Genomic DNA, 20198 nt, shown 5'->3' with positions numbered 1-20198 from the left:
CAAAAACTCCTAAAGTCTAGAAATACATAAAAAGGAAATATATCATAACCAAGTTGAGTTTATGTCAGGAATACAAGATTGGTTGAACATCTGAAATATATCCATATTAATATCTATATAATTCACCACAATAATAGAATAAAGGAGGAAAATTGTATGCTTGTCTCAATAGATAAAAACATTACAAGAAAGGAAAACTACAGACCAATAACCCTTATGAGTATAGATGAAAAACTCTTCAACAAAATACTAGCAAATTGAATCCAGCAATACAGAAAAAGAATAATACATTATGATCAAATGGAGTTTATCCCAGGAATGCAAGACTGGTTCAACATTTGAAATCAAAGTAATTCACCATATTAACAAAACAGAGTCTAGAAAGAGACCCAAAGGTGCAAAGATAATTTAATGGAGAAATTTATCTTTTTAAAAAAAAGTACTGTTGGAACAATTGGCTATCCATATGTAAAACAAACAAACTTCAATTCATACACTATACCTTATATAAAAATTAACTCAAAATGGATCATAGACCTAAATATAAAACATAAACTATAATAAGCTTTTAGAAGAAAACATAGCAGAAATTTTTGTGACATTGGGTTAGGCCAGGAATTCTCAATCTTGGCACTATTGACATTTTGGACTTCATAATTCTTTGTAATGTGGAGCTGTTTTGTGCATTGCTGGATGTTTAGCAGCATCTCTGTCCTCAACTCACGAGATGGCAGTAGCACCCCCTCCCTAGTCGTGATAATAAAAAATATCTCCAAATATTGTCAAATATCCCTTGGGGGGCAAACTCATCTCTGGTTGAGAAACACTGGGTTAAACAAAGGGTTTTTAGACATGACAACAAATCACAATCCAGAAAAGAAAAAACCTATTTCAATTAGACTTCATCCAAATACATTTTACTCTGCAAATACACTGTCAAGAGAATAAAAAATTAAGCCAAAGGCTGAAGAAAATATTTCAAGTCACATATCTGATAAAAGACTTATACCCAGAATAAAGAACTTTCAAAACTCACAATAAGAAAACAATCCAATTTTGAAATGTGCAAAAGACTTGGATACTTCACCAAAGAAAATATATGAATGGTAAATAAGCCATGAAAAGATGCTCAACAACTTTAGTTATTAGGGAAATGCAAATTAAAACGATAATGGGATATTACCACATGTCTATCAGATGGCAAAAAACCAAACCCCAACAATATCAAGTGCTAACAAAGATTTGGAGCAATTGGAACTCTCATACATTGTTGGTGGACATGGATAATGGTACAGCTACTTGGGAAGACAGTTGGCAGTTTCTTACAAAGTCAAACATGCATTTACTATAAACCAGGCAATCTAGCTCTTAAGTATTTACCCAAGTGAAATGAAAACTTAGGCTCACATAAAAGCCTGCTCACAGTATTTATAGCAGTTTTATCATAATCAGAAAAAGCTGAAAACAATCCAAATGTCTTTCAGTGGTTGAATGGATAAACAAATTTTGCCCATCCATGCCATGTATTATATACACAAAAAAATTAACATTAGAAGGCTTGAGGCTGTTATCTTTAGAAGAACTTATTTACAACATTAGCCCTTGGCTGGTGTCTGGGAACTTGGCACCCTGCTCTATGCCTAGACTGCAAACTATGTGATTTATGCTGAATACCTGTTTTCCTTCTGGCAGCCTGGAATTTTGCTAGTTGCTAGGCTTAGGGTGCCTATGTGACCAGTACCCACTAAAAAGCTTGGGTTTGGGTCCCTAGTGGGCTTCCTTAGCAGAAACATTGCACACGTTACTGCATTTTTTTCTGCTAGAGAAAGGAGCATGCTAGGTGTGTCCTCTCACTGTGCACCAGAAGACACACCTGTGTCCTTCAGATTCTACCTGTGTCTTTTTCCTTTGCTGATCATATCATGTGTCCTTCCATTATAATAAACCTTATCCGTGAATACAACTATATAATGAGTCTCATGGGTCCTAGTTAATCTCTGAATGTGGGGGTGATGTGGGGGCCCCCTGAGACAGAACACTACTCAGTAATAAAAAGAAATGAACTGCTGATCCATGTAACAATATGGATGAATCCTGTATGTATTATACTAAGTTAAAGAAGATAGATTCGAAAGGCTGTATACAGTAGAATTCCATTTACATGATGTTCTGGAAAATGCAAAACTATATCTACAAAGAACAGATCAGTGGTTGTCAGGGATTAAGGGTGAGGGAAGGGTTTGGCTACAAAGGAATAGCATAAGGGAATTTCTTTCTCTTGGTTGGGGGGTGATGGAATCGTCCTGCATCTTGGCTGTGGTGTGTGTATGTATAGGGAAAAACAGAGTATATATAGGGCTTGGTACTGTTCACAGTTTCAGACATCCACTGTGGGTCTTGGAAAGTATCCCCTGAGGAAAAGAAGGACTGCTGAACTTAAAATGGTCAACAAACAATGGAGGGTGCTCAGCCTCTATAGTCATCAGGGAAATGCAAATAAAAAACCACTTTGTCACTAAGACAACACATTTCATCATTACAGAATGGCTGTATTAAAATGATTGACCATACCAAGCATTGGTGAAGATGTGGAGCAACTGAACTCTCAGACACACTGCTGGTGGGAGCAGAACGTAAAACGACCATGGCGGAAAACGGACAGTCTGTACTAGAAGCTGAACATACACATACTCAATGACAGCAATTTCACATCCTGGCATATGCCAATCAATAGTAGCACAGTTTGCTACTACCTAAACAACCAAATATTCATCAACATAGAATGCATACTTTCTGGTGTATTTACAATCGATTATTATTATTATTATTATTTTTGAGACACAGTCTCGCTCTGTCACCCAGGCTGGAGTGCAGTGGCAGGATCTCGGCTCACTGCAAGCTCCGCCTCCTGGGTTCACGCCATTCTCCTGCCTCAGCCTCCCGAGTAGCTGGGACCACAGGCGCCCACCACCACACCCGGCTAATTTTTTCTATTTTTAGTAGAGAGGGGGTTTCACCATGTTAGCCAGGATGGTCTCTATCTCCCAACCTCGTGATCTGCCCGCCTCGGCCTCCCAAAGTGCTGGGATTACAGGCGTGGGCCACCGCACCCGGCCTAAAATCGATTATTATAAAATAATGAAAAAGAAGAAACTATTGCTATACATAACAACATGCACAAATCTCACAATCATAATGTTGGGACAAAGATGCCAGACACCAAAGAAGACACACCAAAGAGATCTATTTTAATCAGGTTTTAGAAAACAATAAAAACTAATCTCTGGTGTTAGCAATCTTCCACCTGGGAAGGAGGGTGAGATTGGTCATTTGGATGGGACTAAAGGGGGCTTCTAAGGAGCTGGTAATGCTCTATTTCTTGACTTGGTAGTTATAGGATATGTTTACTTTGTAATATTAATTGAGCTACACACTTAGGATTTGCTCATTTTTCTGTATGCATTTTATATTTTTTGAAAAGTTAAAGCATGAAAAATATTTTAATACTTATTTAAAGTTAAAAAGAGATAAATCCCAGGCCAGGTGCAGTGGCTCACGCCTGTAATCCCAGCACTTTGGGAGCCCAGGCGGGTGGATCACATGAGGTCAGGAGTTCGAGACCAGCCTGGCCAACATGGCAAAACCCTGTCTCTACTAAAAATACAAAACTTAGGCAGGCGTGGTGGTGCATGCCTGTTGTCCCAGCACTAGGGAAGCTGAGGCAGGAGAATCGCTTGAACCTGGGAGGCAGAGGTTGCGGTGAGCTGAGATCGTGCCACTGCACTCCAGCCTGGGTGACAGAGAGAGACCCTGTCTGAAAAAAAAACAAAGATAAATCAGATGATGTCACTTCCTTATGGAATGGCCTTCCATAACACTATCAAGGCTACATGACCAAACTCCTGCCTACGTCTCAGTCGTCAATTCGTGTCGTTGTCCCCTTTTCCACCACACTCCAGCCTCACTAGCCTTCTTACTCTCTCACACATACCAACCTCACTCCTGCCTCAGTGCCTTTGGACTTGCTGTGCCCGCTGCCTGGTGTTCCTTCCCCACATCTGTTCCTGGCCGCCTGTTTATCATCCTTTGCATCTGGGTTTCAGTATAATCTCCTGAGAACTGCCTTCCCTCATCCTCTACCACAGCCCATCCCACACCACTTTCCAGCCACTCTCTATCACAGATGCCAGGCAACATTTTCTGTAGAGAGCCAGGTAGTGAATACCTGAGACTTTGCAGGCCTGACCCTCAATGTCCACTGTCACAAGGAAGTGGCTGTAGATGATATGTGAATGAGTGGGTGTAGCCGTGTTCCCAGAAAACCTTATTTAAGGATTCTGACATTTAAATTTTTATATCATTTCCCCTGTCATGAAATCTTCTCATTTTTTTCTCCCTTCAAGCACTTAAAAATATCAAAACCATTCTTAGCTCACCCACAAAAAATTGGCAGCTGGGCCAAATTTGGTCCATAGCCAACCCCTGCCCTAACCCATTACTCCAATTATTTTCTTCCTAGTCCTTATCGCTGCCTAAAATTATATCATTTATTCATGTGTTTATCTCCTCACTTTACTTGCCCTTGGAATTTAAGCTCCAAAAGAGAGGGGCCCCATCTGTTGGGTTCACTATCCTGTGCCCACTGCCCATCACAACACCCGATGCTGCGGAAGACGTGAAGGACCAAGCCAACCTGGATGTGACCTTGGCTTTGGTGTGGATTTTGGTGGTCTTCCGAACTGGGCTCACAGGAGCAGACTCAGGCTCATCCTTCAAAGTCTCTGCAATTGAGGATTCCAGGTGGCCTGACTGAGATCGTAAAAGACTTTCTCCTGAGTATAAACTTAGCTTGGGGAGCCGCTCGGGATGAGTTCTGGATCTCATCTTGAACCGAACAAATTCTTCCTCCTCCTTTTTGGTGGGATATTCAATGGTAAACAGACCTGTTAACAGAAGATGCTGCTGTCATTTTCCCTTCATGGCCAGGACTCCTCTGCCCCTGGTCCCAGACTGGAAACATCTAAGTGCACCTTGGCTCACCCCCATCTCCTCCCCTCCGCTCTCATTGATTCTCCGGCACCTCCCCTCTGCTGTCCAATACAGTACTCCTGTCCCAGTGCACTCATCAGTGACACTGCCAAATGTTGTGTTGTAAGAATGAATAGGTCTCCTTTCGTACTCATTCTTCAAGACACCTAGGGCCTGTTCCATTCAGCCTGTGTCCTCGCCAGCACCAAATGTAGAGGCTAGCTACACAATGCATTCCTGGCCCATGCTATTCCTTCCTTGAGAATGCTGTTCCCTGTGTCTCCAGCTTTAAGTCAATTCCAACTACTTTCTTTGTTGTATTGTATTTATTTATATTCTTGTCTTGCTTTCCCTACTAGACTGGAAGACTTCTAAGGCCAGGGACCTCTCATCTCTTCACTCACCAGCATTTCTCAAATGTGGGTGCTGAGCATGCAGAGGCACCCCAAGACAGAACTCCCAGACTCCAGAAATTCCCAGTGGGGGAGCAGGATGGGGGACATAGTCACAATGCTAAGTAGTAAGATGTATAATTAGAACATGTACAAAGTGCTGTGGGATCCTTTCTTTCACTTGTGTGGAAAAAAAAGAAAAAATAAATAATTAAGTGCTATGGGAGCCCAAAGGAGGTGTGACCGATTGGAAGTCAAGGAAGGCTTCCCAGAGAAAGGGGCAATCGACATCTCTGGGGACGAGAAGAAACTCCCCAGAGAGACAGTGGGGGAAGCACAGCCCCTCCATGCCCAGCCAGGGGGTGACACAGAATAGGATCAATGTATCCTTGTTCCCAGGCCCATCAGCAGTCAGGAGAGGGGCTCAGAGGTGGAAGGGTCCTGAGGCCACCCATGCTGGCCTTGGGGGATCTCTGTGGGCCTAACAGGGACAGCCTAGAGAGGTGATTGCATTTTTCTCTTCTGAGATCCACAAAAAGAAGGGAGGAGCAGGGGCTCCAGATGGATGATGGGTGATATGAGAAATGGAGCTAAAGGTGAATGTAGATGTGGGGTGGGGAACAAGAGGGACACAGCCAGCTACCGAGAAACCCAGGAAAATAAGACAATCTCATGGAGATGTGCAAGACACTCTGGGAGAGAGCTCAGAAATGCAAGTGGGCTCACGTCACTATTCTTAGCTGTGTGGCCTTAAGTGACCTGAGCCCAGTGGGACCTAAAATGGGGAAATATCTCTGCTATGCCTACTTCCCTGGACATTCAGACTGAAGATGGAATGGGCGGTAAAGTAAAGGTCTGTCCCTTGAGATGACCTGCCAGAATCTCAGGACTGGGGAAGCCAACAGATAGGCCTTCGCCCACCTTTCAGCCTCCTTACCTGCGGCCAGCAAGATAGAATTAATGAACTGAGTCACTGTCTTCTGAAACCGCTTCTTGATCTCAGCCAGGGCTCGGCTCATCTTATACACCTTGTCGTCCATGTTGCTGATTCTGCGGTTCAGCTGGAGAGGGGCAAAGGGGAGGGCGGGTGTCACCATCCCCTCAAAGAGCCAGCTGCCTAGTCCAGGATAACTAAGACTTGCTCCGGTTCAGAGGATGTGCTATTGCCTGCCCCCCTACCCCTACCTGGAACACACCTCTCTCCCTCTCAGCCCAGTGAGTTCCTGCACACAGACCCAGGCCTGACTCATGGCCTCTCCTCGGAGGGTTTTCCTTGATTCGACTGGGCAGAACTGCTTCTTGCTTTGAACTCTCATCATGCTCAATGCAGCTTGAAGATGGAAGTTAGCACTTTGCCAAGTGACAGCTGTGTTTGAGCCTATCTTTCCACTAGACTGCAAGCTTCTGGAGGGAAGGGACCGAGTCTTGGTCTCTTGTGTGTCTGAGTGCTTGTCATGCAGGTGCTCAGTAAATGCTATTGCATTCGTGAGTAAGTGGACGATAAAGCCTTCTGCAGAGCGTTCTCTGCCGGCCTCCCTCTGCAGTGGATGCTGCGGTGCATCCCCCAGGAGCCCCTTCATCCCTCCAGCTGTCAAAACAGTGGCTGCTGACATTGCCCAGCTGAGAACCTGCCTCTGGCCAAGGTTACAGAAGCTGACTGGTAATTGCAGGCCACAAAGGCCCAGGCCTCTTGTTTCCATTTGGGATTACGCTGAAGGATCATTCTGACTCCAGGGCTCCCCACGGGATCGCTGAGGCCTCTGCCATGGCTGCCCTCTCCCTCTGCCTTCCTTCAGACCGTCAAAGGGGCTGTTCCCAAGAGCAGTCTCCAGTAAACTCCTACATACTTGGTTCCATTCCACAGTCTGTTTCCCAGGAGACCCAATCTAAGACCTGCTCTGAACAGCTGGGGCATGTCAGTGGCACTGCAAAATCAGGCCCAGTTTCCAGAGGTATTTATATTCGGTCTTTCTCTCTAGGAAGCCTTCCCTGATTTCCTCAGCCAACAGCAACTGCTCCCTCTGCTGAACTTTCACACATGTCCCTTCCTGTCCTTTCTGCCCTGGGTCCTGGTCATTTTTTTTTTTTTTTTCACTGCCTTTGTCCCTAAACTCATTCAGCAACTTGAGAGGAAGATCTATCATTTCTACATCTCCCACGTAACATAGAGAAGGTAGGAAAAAAACTCTCTTCTGTGGAATTTAATCCTCAAGTGGCAAGAGTGGGGTGGGCAGTATCAGATTTCCTGATGAACAACAAAGTCAGCCCACGAGTCCTTCTTTATGCTGAAGGCAGGAAATCTATAAAGGATGTCCCCAACAAATGGCAAAGTCTCAACCATCCTTCTGATTCTTGGCCCCAGTTGCTGCTTCTGCACTCATCTTATTTATTTATTTGAAATTTATACTCAGCCTGCTTCCAAAAAGGACCTGAGGTGGCACACTGGGCTAATAAAGCATTTAAACAGAGGCTGTTGTCTCGCTTCCCAAGAGCTGCCTTGATGGAAATATTTAGTGAGGAGCCAGGCCTCAGGGCTGTAAAAGCTGGGACCGCCATTCTGCCTGTCTCTCTGATGGGTGGCTCTTTCCAGGGCAATGGGTGTCTGGGGAAGCCATTTAACAAGCTTCTCAGTGACAGGGACTTGGAGGGAGGAGCCCCAACACTCGGCACATTTTCTTGGAAGCTCCTTGCAGCTCTCACGGTCCAAGAATGCAAGATGAGCTAATTTTCTAAGCCTCAGGATTTCATGTAAAATATCCTGAGATGCTTAACCACATGGTTAAGGTCAACATTTGGAAATCCTATTACCCACAAGAAAGCATATTTACTCATTGTTTCTGTTTATCTTGTTAGAATGTTGTCATACATAGTACACATGCTTGCACTCTCGAAAGAGGTTATGATCGGAACACTTTTTTGGCAAGTCAATCTTGGTCAACATCAGCTTCTGCTTTCTATAATGCAGCACTGTTTTCAGAATCTGTCTCAATGTATTGGTCTGTTTGTCCCTATGTTACATTTCCTTAAGACAGTTATGCTCTTTGATTTACTGTGTCATTTTAAATAACCTCTCAGTCTTCTACTGCACTGCCAAACCATGCCTTGATAAGCTTCCCTTAATAGAGACTCTACCTTCTAGCCCAGCATGATCCACTAGAAATATAATGTGAGCTACATGTGTAGTTGAAAATGTCCTAGTTAGCACATTAAAAAATTTTTAAAAGGGAAAATTAATTCTAATTATCTATTTATTTAAACCAGTATATCAAAAATAGGGTATGTCAACATATCACCAAAATAGTCAATTATTAATGAGAAATTTTACATTCTCAATTCACACTAAGTCTTTGAAATGCAGTGTGTGTTTCCATGCAGAGCCCATCTCCATTTGGACTTGTCACACGTCAAGGGCTCAATTGCCATGTGTGACTCATGGCTACAATATTGGACAGCACAGCTCTAGACTTCTAATTCCAGCTTGAGGAGGTTGCTTTAAGGTAAGAAAATAAGACTTGAATTCCTAGGGGCTTTTCTAGGCCTAAGGGGCTTGTTGGGTACACAGACTGAGAGTAATTTTTCTCAGCTGCTCATGGGGGTCTTGAATTGCTTGTATCTTGGTTCTCAGCTGCATTCCAAACTTCAGAGATAATCAGACAAGAGGTTGCCAGAAAAATGAAGCATTGCCACAATTTTATGAGAATAAATAATTTTCTAATATCCGTTGCCTTTGATAAGAAAAGTAGACTCACATTTTAAAAACGCAACCTAAAAAGGTTTCCAAGAAACATAGATAGGTGACTTCATAGCCAGTGCATACTTAATCACTTAACAATAGCTTTTTCTGGCCAGGCACGGTGGCTCACGCCTGTAATCCCAGCACTTTGGGAGGCTGAGGCGCGTGGGTCATCTAAGGTCAGGAGTTTGAGACCAGCCTGGCCAACATGGTGAAACCCTGTCTCTACTAAAAATACAAAAATGAGCTGGTGTGGTGGTAGGCACCTGTAATCCTCGAGAGTCTGAAGGCATGAGAATCACTTGAACCTAGGAGGCGGAGGCTGCAGTGAGCCAAGATTGCACCACTGCACTCCAGTCTGGGCGACAGACAAGGCTTGGTCTCAATAAAATAAAATAAAATAAAATAAAATAAAATAAAATAAAATAAAATAAAATAAAATAAAATAAAACCAATGGCCTTTTAGAGTGAGAGTGTGGAACCAGATTGACAGGGTAGATGGATCAATAAGCAAGATCATTTATCTCAGCCCAGGTGGACTCAAACTCTTGCGGGTAGTTTGCTCTTTGAAGTAACCAATGCATGCCGGATTCACAGGCACCTGTGTTTCTCCGGTACTTCCTCTCTTCCTCTCCTAGCAGATTCCACATGACCCTCTGGCACACCACAAGGGTGAAGCTAGATGATCATTGGTGCCCATGCTTTTGCCTCTTCCATTAGATTGAGAGAATTTCAGAGTTTAGAGGGAATGAGACTTCTTTATTTCTACATCTCCAGCAGCCAACTTGGCCTGCTGCAGGTGCTAATAAATGTTTATTGAATTTGTTAATGAATTAATGAAGGTGAAATGCTGCTGGAATGAAAATGTAGTGGGAAAAAGAAAACAGATGCAATGCTTTCCTCCAGGAGTAACAAAGGAGACCCCTAACAAATGCCCACACCCTATGTCCTTATTGGACGTTGGGTTGGTTGCCCTTGCTGGGCTCTGCCAGCTTTGGGCGTCTGTAAGCTTGTGGCATACAGTGGCAAATGCCCACACAGCTTAAGAGCTTCTTGCTCAGGATGATCATATAATCTATCATCCAAACCAGGACACTTTTGAGGGGGACACATAGTGCCATTTACAATTTCTCCAGGTATATAATTGCTCTGGTATAAACTGGGACTGGCTCTGGGCAAACTGGGAAGTGTGGTCACCCTGCTTTTGCTTCTAGGAGCCTTCCCTTAGTGGGCAGAGTGCCCTGTGGGGAGCTCAAATAGTCTGCTCTACCCACCTGAGCTTTGGTTACCCCATCTTGTGTTGAGGTCAAGTGTTCTCTTTTGGGATATACACTCAGGGTGTAGGGACTGTGTCCTCTTAATCCTCTCCACCTGTCTCCCTGATGTTGACTTGACATCACCAGATACACAGTAGGATCCATGATGACCCACTGAATGAAAGAATGAGACTCCCAGTCTCCACTGTATTCTCATCCACCCAAAAAATATTTGGTAAAGATTTAATTTGAAGTAGTCCTCATGCTGGGCCCTGGGACAACAGACATTAGAGGGAATCACAGGGAATTTTCAATTTGTGGAGACGATAGACTTGAAACGAAAGCAGTCTAGAATGGACGTTGTCACGGCCAGGGGGGCTGAGCAGAGGGAGAGACTGACTCTACCTGGGATGAGAAGAGGGTGGTAGAGAGAGGGTCATCAACATGCACTGGTAGTTTTCTACTCAGCATCATTTCTTCTCCTGGTAACAGCACCTTGATTTTCCTTTAGGGAAACTCTTCTGCCTTATCCTTTGCCCAGGTGGTTCATTTGAGAGTAATCTGACACATTGGCCCCCAGGATGGACATGAGCCTCAAGCCTAGTCAATGGGAGCAATACATACTCCTGGCCACAGGGAATGTTTCACGCATGGGCAGTTAATAGAGCCAATGAGTGTTGATGTTGGCATTTCTACTGGAGTGTTTAGGAAACAGAAGCCCTCCTTCTTCCAGGGGCACTAAAGCTGGTATAATAATAGCCCAGAGATGTTCATGGTCATCTTGTCATCAACAGGAGAGAAACTCCTTGAGAATGAAGCCAACAAAGAGGAAAGCAGAGCCAAGAGATGCGAAGATCTGGTGGAATCATTTCAGGGCCTGGATCCAGCCATGCCTGAAACTGCATATTGACAGACTTCTCAGTTTATTGAGCCACTATATTCTTTTTTCATGCTTAAGCTAGTCCACACTGGATTCTGTCACTTACAACTGGAAGACCCTTAATTGATATAAGAAGTTTCACAGGAAGGTGGTACTAAGAGTAGGTGGTGAATAATGGCAGAGGAAAAGGCAGGGCCTTGCATGGAAGGGTGGTGGGGAGTAAGAGCAAAGGCCCTGAGATATGAAACAGCAACCCACGTTGAGATGCCCAGGGGTCAGGGCTGGGTGCATAGTCTGCCTTGCCTTACCCGTTTGTCATATGCCATTCCATGGGGACAATTGTTGGCCGACACAGTGAGTGTTACTGTCTCATTCAGGGAGGTGAAGGTGACTGTGATGGAGTCCTGTCCCAGTACCTTTAGTTTCATTTCCTCATTCACCTGTAGATGAAGAAACAGTACTCAGAGAATCCCTGCTTCAACGGCCCCAGCCACCCCTTCCTGACCCACCACGAAGCACAAAGCCCCTGTTGGCTTGGGGCAGAAGATTTGTAAGAGCTTTCCAGTTCTTATGTTAGAATTCCGCTTCATGGAGAAGACAGAAAAATTCCAGGTTTCCCTGGGGGCCCACTGAAAAAGTAAATGATGCTTCCTTATTCCTACTCCTTCCCTTTCCAACTCAAGCATGAAACCCACTGTGAAAGAGTCACAGGTGTCTGGCAGATGAATCAGCTTCAGTTCTGGTAAAGATGAATTGGGAATGCAGCTTGGATCAGAGGGTAACCCTTTATCCCTGAATCAGACAGATGTGTCCACTCAGGCACAAGGTCTGACTATGACTCTTGTCCTACAGTGGTAGGAAGGTGACCACTTGGCAGGAAGCGCCGGAAAGCCCTCTGCAGATGGGTGGGAAGAGGTCAAAGAGGACCCAGAAGGGCCTGGGCCACACATACTCAGCCCCTTCCACAAATATGTCATTATTCTTCCCCTGAGGAGGAGCCAAAGATGGGTGGAAAAGGGGCAGCTACTCTTTATCATCACTTCCAAAAGAGTGGGATTTCCTTTAAGCAGTACTAGATTGGAGCTTGGGGAGAGTGAGTTGCCCTTATAACAACTCACGCCTTACTGAGAGCTCTGTGGTCTACGGGTGAGTCCCAGTTCTGCCTCCTGATAACAAGCCAGTTAGCTTCGCTGAATCTCAACTTCTTCCACATGAAATCATTGAACGGCTATTATTAGGATCAAATGAGATAAAAATGTGGAAGTGGCTTTGTAAGCCATTAAGGCCTATGCCCAGCATGAGCAGATATTGTCAAGACAAGGTAGAGCAATTCACATTTAAGGCTGTTGAACAATTTGCATGTGCAGAGCACAATTTATACGCAGGGACCCTCCTGGAGAGCCTCAGAGTGTGCAGCCCTACACTGCTGTGCTTCTCTCAGTCTTCAATGTCCTTGACCTACAATATCCCCTTATCTACAAATACCCCCAGGATGCCTCTGAACCAAAAACAACAACAACAACAACAACAACAACAACAACAACAACAACAACAACAACCACTCTCTGCTTTGCTCCTTCCATTTCTTTCTACTATTCCAGTTGCTTGCCCAGGGGTCTACGCTTAACTTCCTTTTGAGTTTCTTCCTCACACCCTGCAGTCTGGAGACTAGTTCCCTCCAGCACCCTGAAAGCACTGAACTATGACTTGCCAAGTCTTTTGACATCTTTGAACTTGATCACTCTCACTTAAAAGAAACCCTCTGCCGGGCACGGTGGCTCACACCTGTAATCCCAGCATTTTGGGAGGCCAAGGTGGGCGGATCACGAGGTCAGGAGATCGAGACCATCCTGGCTAATACGGTGAAACCCCGTCTCTACTAAATATACAAAAAAATTAGCCAGGCATGGTGGCAGACACCTGTAGTCCCAGCTACTCGGGAGGCTGAGGCAGGAGAATGGCATGAACCCGGGAGGCAGAGCTTGCAGTGAGCTGAGATCACGCCACTACACTCCAGCCTAGGCGACAGAGTGAGACTCTATCTCAAAAAAACAAAAAACAAAAAACAAAACAAAACAAAACAAAAAAACAAAAAAAACCCTCCTCTCTCTTGTCCTCCTTCTAGAGAGATGTAGTATAGAGCCACGGTTGGGAGCTCAAGCTCTGCAGTTGAGCAAGGGTCAAATCCCAGCATTGCCATTTACCAGTTGGGCAATTTTAGACAAATTGGTTAGCCTCTCTGAGCCTGGGGACAATAATAGTAAAAAGTAAGGTAAAAGTAAAAAGTTTTATCCCATGAAATTTTCTCATAGGATGGTTAGTCAATTTCAGCAGATTTCATAGCTTAGCATAGTACAGCTTTCATTTATTATCCTTGCTCCCTGGATGGTTTTTCTTTCTCTCCCCCAAACTCCCAAGTATGGCAGCTCTATAAACCACAGACTTGTCTTCTTGAGAGTTCATTAGCCAGCCCATTATATCCATTATCCCCAGTCTCTCACCCTAGGTCAGGGTCCATGTCACAGTAGCCCAGAGAGATATGGCCACTGAACCAAATAAACATGTCTAAAATCATTTTGGTCACTGATCCTCTCAGAAACTTCTCTGTTTCCTCCCAGACACATAATCCGTCATGGAGTCATCTACAATTCCCTCTTCCTTTCATCTATCCCTTACAGGCCATGCCTGTGCACCATTGAGTTCTTTTATTGAAATGACCCCTTTAAAAAATATTGCCGCTATTTTTAATGCTTTTGGGTCTGGCTAGTAACTCCCCAACTAGTCTCTCCACTAGCCCACCCACTGGTCTCTCTCCAGTCAACCAAAAATGCTAGACTGAGCATTTCAGCCCTCAGCTTAAAAATCAACCAGCTGGTTCTACTTCCAGTATAGCTGAGTCAGTGCCTGACAGGCTGCCTTCCTCATAGATAACTATAAGCTTGAAAAAATTAAAAAAAAAAAAAAAAACAATGACCCAAAGGCTATGAAGAGTGAACAAATGCAGGCAGACTTTGAAGAGGAGTCAAAATTCAAAAGAAAGGAGCAGCATGGGATAAGGTTTACGGCTTTAGCCTGAAGGCAGGCCACAGTCATGGCCAAACTCCACCATCTTTCTGGCCTGCAGAACCCAGAGGATGGAACCTGGAGCAACCATAGTCACAGGAAAGTGTAGAAAGAATTCCAGAAAGGATAGCACCAGAGAAGGAGAGGCCAGAATTCTGTATATAAACTGTCCCTGTCTCTGGCTGATCCTTGAACCATCCTTGAGCAGGGAAGACTCAAGACATCTTACGGTTGAAGAAACAAACAAACATAAAAACTGAACTGAGACGTGAGCTTCTGCAGGTGAAACAAAGTTTGTGGTTTCAGTCTAACCAAGTTCATTGCCTGTTAAAACAAGAATATCAACACTCTTCAGAGAAATACACCAGAATTCAGACACTCCACCAAATAACATTCACAATGTCCACCTACAGTCCAAAATTATTCAATATGTGAAGAACCAGTGAAGTGTGAGCTGTTTTCAAAGCAACAGATAATCAACAGAGGCCAACTCAGTCTGATAAGACCCAGACATTGAAATTTTCAGACAAGGACATTAAAACACTAATTTAACTACACTAGATGAGGTAAGGGAAAATGTACTTGTAAGAAATTATAAAATATGGAATCTCAGCAGAGAAATAAAAAATATAAAAGTAACTAAGTGGAAATTCTAGAGCTGAAAATATGTAAATCTGAAATTTTAAATTATTATATTATTATCATAATAGTAGAATGGAGATGACAGAATAAAGTCACTGAACTTGAAGACAGATCAAGAGAAATCATCCAATCTCAAAAGTAAAGAGAAAAATAATGTGAATAACAACAACATAAGAGAGCTTTAGGAACCCTTGGGACAATATCAAAAGGTCTAAAATAGACATAATTGGAGTCTCAGAAGAAAAGGGGAAAGATTGGAGCAGGTTTTTATTTTCCAAAGAAGATTTAGAAGATTCCCCAAATTTGGTGAAACAAATTTAAATGAATTTACAGACTCAAGAAACTCAGTAAATGGAATAAATATGAAGACAACCACACCTAGATGTATCAGTTAAACTTAGAAAACCAAAGAAAAGAGAAAATCTTGCAAGCAGGTAAAGAAAATAAACAGTGACTTGAATAACTACAGACTTCTTATAAACTATAGAAGACAGACACAGAACAACATCTTTAAAATGCTGAAAGAAAATAAAAATCATCCCAGAATCATATCCAGCAAAAATATCCTTTAATAAAGAGATTTTTTTTTAATCATGGAAAAAAAACATTGCCAGAAGAATACATTGCCAGAAGATATGCACTTCAAGAAAGCCAAAAGAAGTTCTTCAGGCTGAAGAGAAATGGTACCAGAGGGAAACTTGGATCTTCAGAGAGTAATGAAGAACACTGGAAATAGTAAACATCTGGGCAAAAACAAATTGGCCCCTGCAGCCTCCAAGACAGCATGCAAACTCCCCAGCCTGACATCCAGTGCCTCCCACCTCCACCTGACACCATACATACCTCTTGCTCCACCTGTCTTTTACAAGAAGCACTTGTGACCTCTTAAAAATGCCACATTTAGTCCCAGCTTCAACCTTTGCAGACTCGGCTCCCACTACCCAGAAGATTTTTGCCTCCTCCTCCTCTCTATGTGAATCACACACACTCACCCCCATGCTACAACCCCAGGGCCACCTTGTTTTCCAGGCCACTCCTGACTTCACATGCCTCTGTTGTGCTCTTCTGCATGCAGCTCCAGGAAATATATAACAGTCAACTAAAATACATTGCTAAAACACTTTACTGATGTCAAAGCACTTTTCCCTCCGCTATGTCATTTCTTCTCATGAAAGTACCATGAGGCCGGAGGGCAGTTCTGGTGACCCACTTTGTATAGATGAGACAGCTGAGACTCAGAGAAGCTGAAAGGTTTTCGCAAAGTTGCACAGCCAAAGTCTGGCAAAGTTGGCACTAGTACTTAGCTCCTCAGGTTCTTATCCCAGTTCTCCGCTTGGACACACTAACACACAACTTATGATGCCTGCCTTCAACTGATTTCTAATCTTGGATTATACACTTTTCATACAACTATGAAAAGGTAAACATTAAGAAAACAACACAACACACCCCTAGACTGGGGCTCTCAGACCTGGCCAAGCCTCAGAAATGTTTGTGAAAACCACAGAAATCCAAAACTCCTAACATACCAACTGAGTCAGGGTTGCTCTGGGGCTGTGCCTGGGATCTTTATTTTATAAAAAGTCCCAGAGGTGACTCTGATACGCAGCCAGAGATGAGAACCTCTTCCTGACATTAATTACCAAATGACTAATCCAAACTGTGTGCACTGTGGGAAGATAGAAATGGGTGTGGGATGGGATGCCACAAAGGAGGGGAGTCTGGGCAGGGCTTTGAAGGAATTTGGGAGGACATTTGCACTGGCAAAGAGAGGAGGGGGTGCATTTCAGGCCAAGGGAGTAGGAAAGGTGAGACATGTTCAAGGGAGTGAATATTCCTAAGCAGAGGTGTGGTCTGAGGAATCAGAGCATAAGGAGGAGAGTCAGTGGCCAGTGTAGAGGATGAACCAAGAGGACAAGAAACAGGAGACTAAGGGTAGGGTGCTGGAGCCCTCCCATGCATTCCAAGTGCTTGTGTCCACAACCCTCACTGTGGGGCTCTTCATCTCAGGCCAGCTTGAGTGGATGCTATGTTCTGTGATCTTTCTCTGAATCCCAACACTTGCCCCTCTCTCACAGTTCTTGAATCTGTGTCTACCCTGTGTTCTTATTAGTCCCTTAGACTTTTGAGTTCCTTGATGGGCTTTGTTTCTCCTTCCAATCTCTGATTGGTGATTCTCAACTGGGGGCAATTTTGCCCCCCAGAGGCTACATTTGGTGATACCTGAAGATATTTTTGGTTGTCACAACTGGAGTAGGGGATACTACTGGAATCTAGTGGGATGCTAAACATCTTACAATGCACAGTTATACCAAAGAAGTATCCATCCCAAAATGTCAGTAGTGTCAATGATGAGGAACTCTGCCACAGATAAGTGACAAGCACAGTTAGTTGCTTTATTAATAAGTTTATTAATTTATTATTAATAATTCAGCCCTCTTTATTATTTGTTATTTAATAAATCTTTGGTAAATAATTATCTGAACAGCCAAATGAATGAAAAAAGAGTTTCTATCTATCAGTCACTTTTGACTTCTAGATTGTTTTATTTTATAGATAATAAAGTTATAAAAACAAAAACGGAGGAGACCAATATAGAATTGCTAATTTTTATTATTGCCACACATAGGCATTAAAAATAAAGCTATCAACTACTATAACTGTGACTTCATAAAACACATTTTAACAGTAAAAACAGAATAATATTAATAATAAAAATTACACAGGAAGGATATTACCAAGAAATGTCTGTAAAGCAGCCAATAGTTTAGGCTGGTGAAAAGTTCCCTTCAGCCAACCTGGACCACCATCCACCAACTTGGGAACCTCTGAATGAGATTATGAGCTCCTTCAGGGCAGGCTTCCTGTCTTACGGGTAGCCCTGGGCTTTTAATGCTAGGCAGTGCATGGCAGGATGCCCAGACCCTCCCTGTGACAGTGGTGCTCACTGCCACCCAACCTGTGCTGCCCATCCCTACCTTGTATTCCAGGGAAAGCAGGGTCTCTGTCCTGGAAGTCCAGCTCCACTTGTGGACTACATAGCCCTGCTGGTCATTGGTGGTCCCACCTTCCTCATCCAAGATTAAGACATATGGGCAACTAGGAGAGATACAGAAGTGAGTAGCTGCCACCGGGCCCCTGAAGGAAGCTCTCATCACCGCAGGTTATGGGCAGACAGGTCTGTAAGACTCAGTCCCAGGCTGGAGGAGTGGTGGAGTCCTGCAGTCAACCTTACTTTCCCCACTTGCTATGGTCTGAGGCCCCTTAACACCTGCTGATGCTACCGGAGGAGCCTATTCTGAGAGAGATGATGAAGTCTCAGGCCAAACCCAGAAGGGGAAGAAATGGGATTTGTGCTCTGTTGCCTAGTAGCCTGAGTGTATAATAGGCACCAAGATGGGAACTGGAATACCTATAACATAAGAGTAAGTCATTTCTTCCAAGAACAGTTCCTTATGAAAAGCCAGGCAAAGCCAGGCAAATCCAGACATGGTGGCTTATGCCTGTAATCCCAGCACTTTGAGGGGCTGAGGCAGGAGGATTGTTTGAGGCCAGGAGTTTGAGATCATCCTGGTCAACACAGTGAGACCCTGTCTCTACAAAAAAATTTAAAAAATTATCTGGGCATTGTGGCACATGTCTGTAGTCCCAGCTAACCCAGGAGGCTGAGGTGAAAGGATCACTTGAGCCCAGGAGTTCGAGGCTGCAGTGAGCTATAATCATGCCACTGCACTTCAACCTGAGTGACAGAGTGAGAGCAAGACCCAGTCTCAAAACAAAAACAAAAACAAAACAAAAAAGAAAAGCCAGACAATATCAACCTTTGGATGGCAAGAATATGCACTTTTCTTAAAAGATGCCATAGAAGTAGTGTGTTCATGCCTCTCCTTCACCTACTCCTGGTATAAAACATATTTTTTCCACTAAATAATTCTTCCATTAATATAACTAACAATCAAGATCTTAGTGCTGTGGGGTACCAAGTGGAGTAGGACTTGGGAAGGTGTCCTTCTTATTGGCTGTGACATAGATACAGCAAGGAAGGGCTGAGCCTTAAAGTTCCTATGTCCCTGCAGAAACAGCCTCAGCCCTGCCTCACTGCCTTACTAGATCTCTGGACACCGCCTGGCTTCTTCTTTAACCAGGGACTCGTAGTCACCACCTCAGTCCTCCCTCCATCACCCTCAGAGGTACTTCCGTGTGACTAGTACTCTCCCAGTCCACTTACCTGGTTTTTAGGTTGTAGTGAACACAGCCCTGGCCTTCAGTATTGAATAGGGCCAGCAAGGAGAATCCAGGTATGTCATTAAAGAGGCAGGTGATGGTTCTCCCTCTGCAGCATGTGGGGATCTGACATACAGCGACGTTTCCAGAGGGATAGCTGGCAGAAATGTTCAGGTAGAACTAACAGAAAACTCCCCTGGTTCTGCTCTCAGTTGTCCCATTGAAGCAAGTCCACATGTCAAAGTGTTAGCTATTTGGTGCATCATTCTCCATCTTCAAACACCCTCCTTGCATTTTGCATAAGTAACAATTATATGATTATGGAACCCAACGATGACCTAGCTGCTTTTCTGTATCTTCTATTTTCTCACAACCACCTTGTGGTAGGTAGTATTATCTTCCTCTCACAGATGAGTAGGGTCCCCCTGGGTCTAATGGGTTTCCTGAGACGTGGAACTTTCAGTATAAAACCTAAAAAGTCCCAGGCAAACCAGGATGAGTTGGTCACCCTAGATGAGGAATCCAAAGTGCAGAAAATTATCTGCCCCATGTCACATCACAAGGAAGTGGCTAGAGCCAGGATTTGATCTCTGAGGCCAGCAATATTTCTAATGCTATCAGGCTGCTCCCACTTCTGACCAATCAAGGAGTACAGGTAATGTCGCCTTGTTCATTTTCTAGTAAAGAGGCCCCAAGAAGCCCTGGTCCTGACTAAGGAGGACATGGTGTGGGCAGCTACTGTCCTGTGTGCAGGAATTTCACAAGCAGTACTCCAGACACAGAAGCATTTCAGAATGAAAGCAGAAAGAAAAGGAAATGAAGAAAAATGAAGATTCTCAGGGACCTGTGGGAGGCCATCAAGCATACCAACATATGAATAATAGGAGTCCCAGAAGGAGAGACAAGAGAAATTAGGGTAGAAGGAATATCTAAAGAAATAATGGCTGAAAACTCCCCAAATTTGATGAAAGACAATAATA

The 20198-nt window shown here is 43.8% G+C and overlaps 1 protein-coding gene across 11 annotated transcripts in view, besides 1 other annotated feature; it reads right to left on the bottom strand.

Moving 5' to 3' along the window:
• C3orf20 (chromosome 3 open reading frame 20) overlaps nt 1-20198 on the bottom strand; it is a 97896-nt gene that overhangs the window by 39655 nt on the left and 38043 nt on the right. For 9 of the 11 annotated variants that reach the window (XM_006713341.3, NM_032137.5, NM_001184958.2 and 6 more), the window contains 5 exons: nt 19223-19375; nt 17973-18093; nt 11598-11729; nt 6358-6481; nt 4694-4943 (listed from right to left, as the gene is read on the bottom strand). In XM_006713341.3, coding sequence (XP_006713404.1) covers nt 4694-4943; nt 6358-6481; nt 11598-11729; nt 17973-18093; nt 19223-19375 — 780 coding nt within the window. Of the gene's footprint in view, nt 1-4693; nt 4944-6357; nt 6482-10774; nt 11309-11597; nt 11730-17972; nt 18094-19222; nt 19376-20198 lie in introns of those variants that run through there. The other 2 variants (XM_011534158.3, XM_017007310.2) reach the window with 2 other exon arrangements.
• Nucleotides 14684-14803: an enhancer, noted in NCBI's record as "active region_19520". NCBI's record gives its function as "activates an Ori minimal core promoter by ATAC-STARR-seq in GM12878 lymphoblastoid cells {active_cell/tissue: GM12878}" and the evidence as "EXISTENCE:reporter gene assay evidence [ECO:0000049][PMID:35858748]".

Source organism: Homo sapiens, chromosome 3 (assembly GCF_000001405.40).
Source record: "Homo sapiens chromosome 3, GRCh38.p14 Primary Assembly".
NCBI lineage: Eukaryota > Metazoa > Chordata > Mammalia > Primates > Hominidae > Homo > Homo sapiens.
The sequence above is the reverse complement of the archived record's forward strand: the minus strand, read 5'-3'. Positions and strand labels throughout refer to the sequence as shown.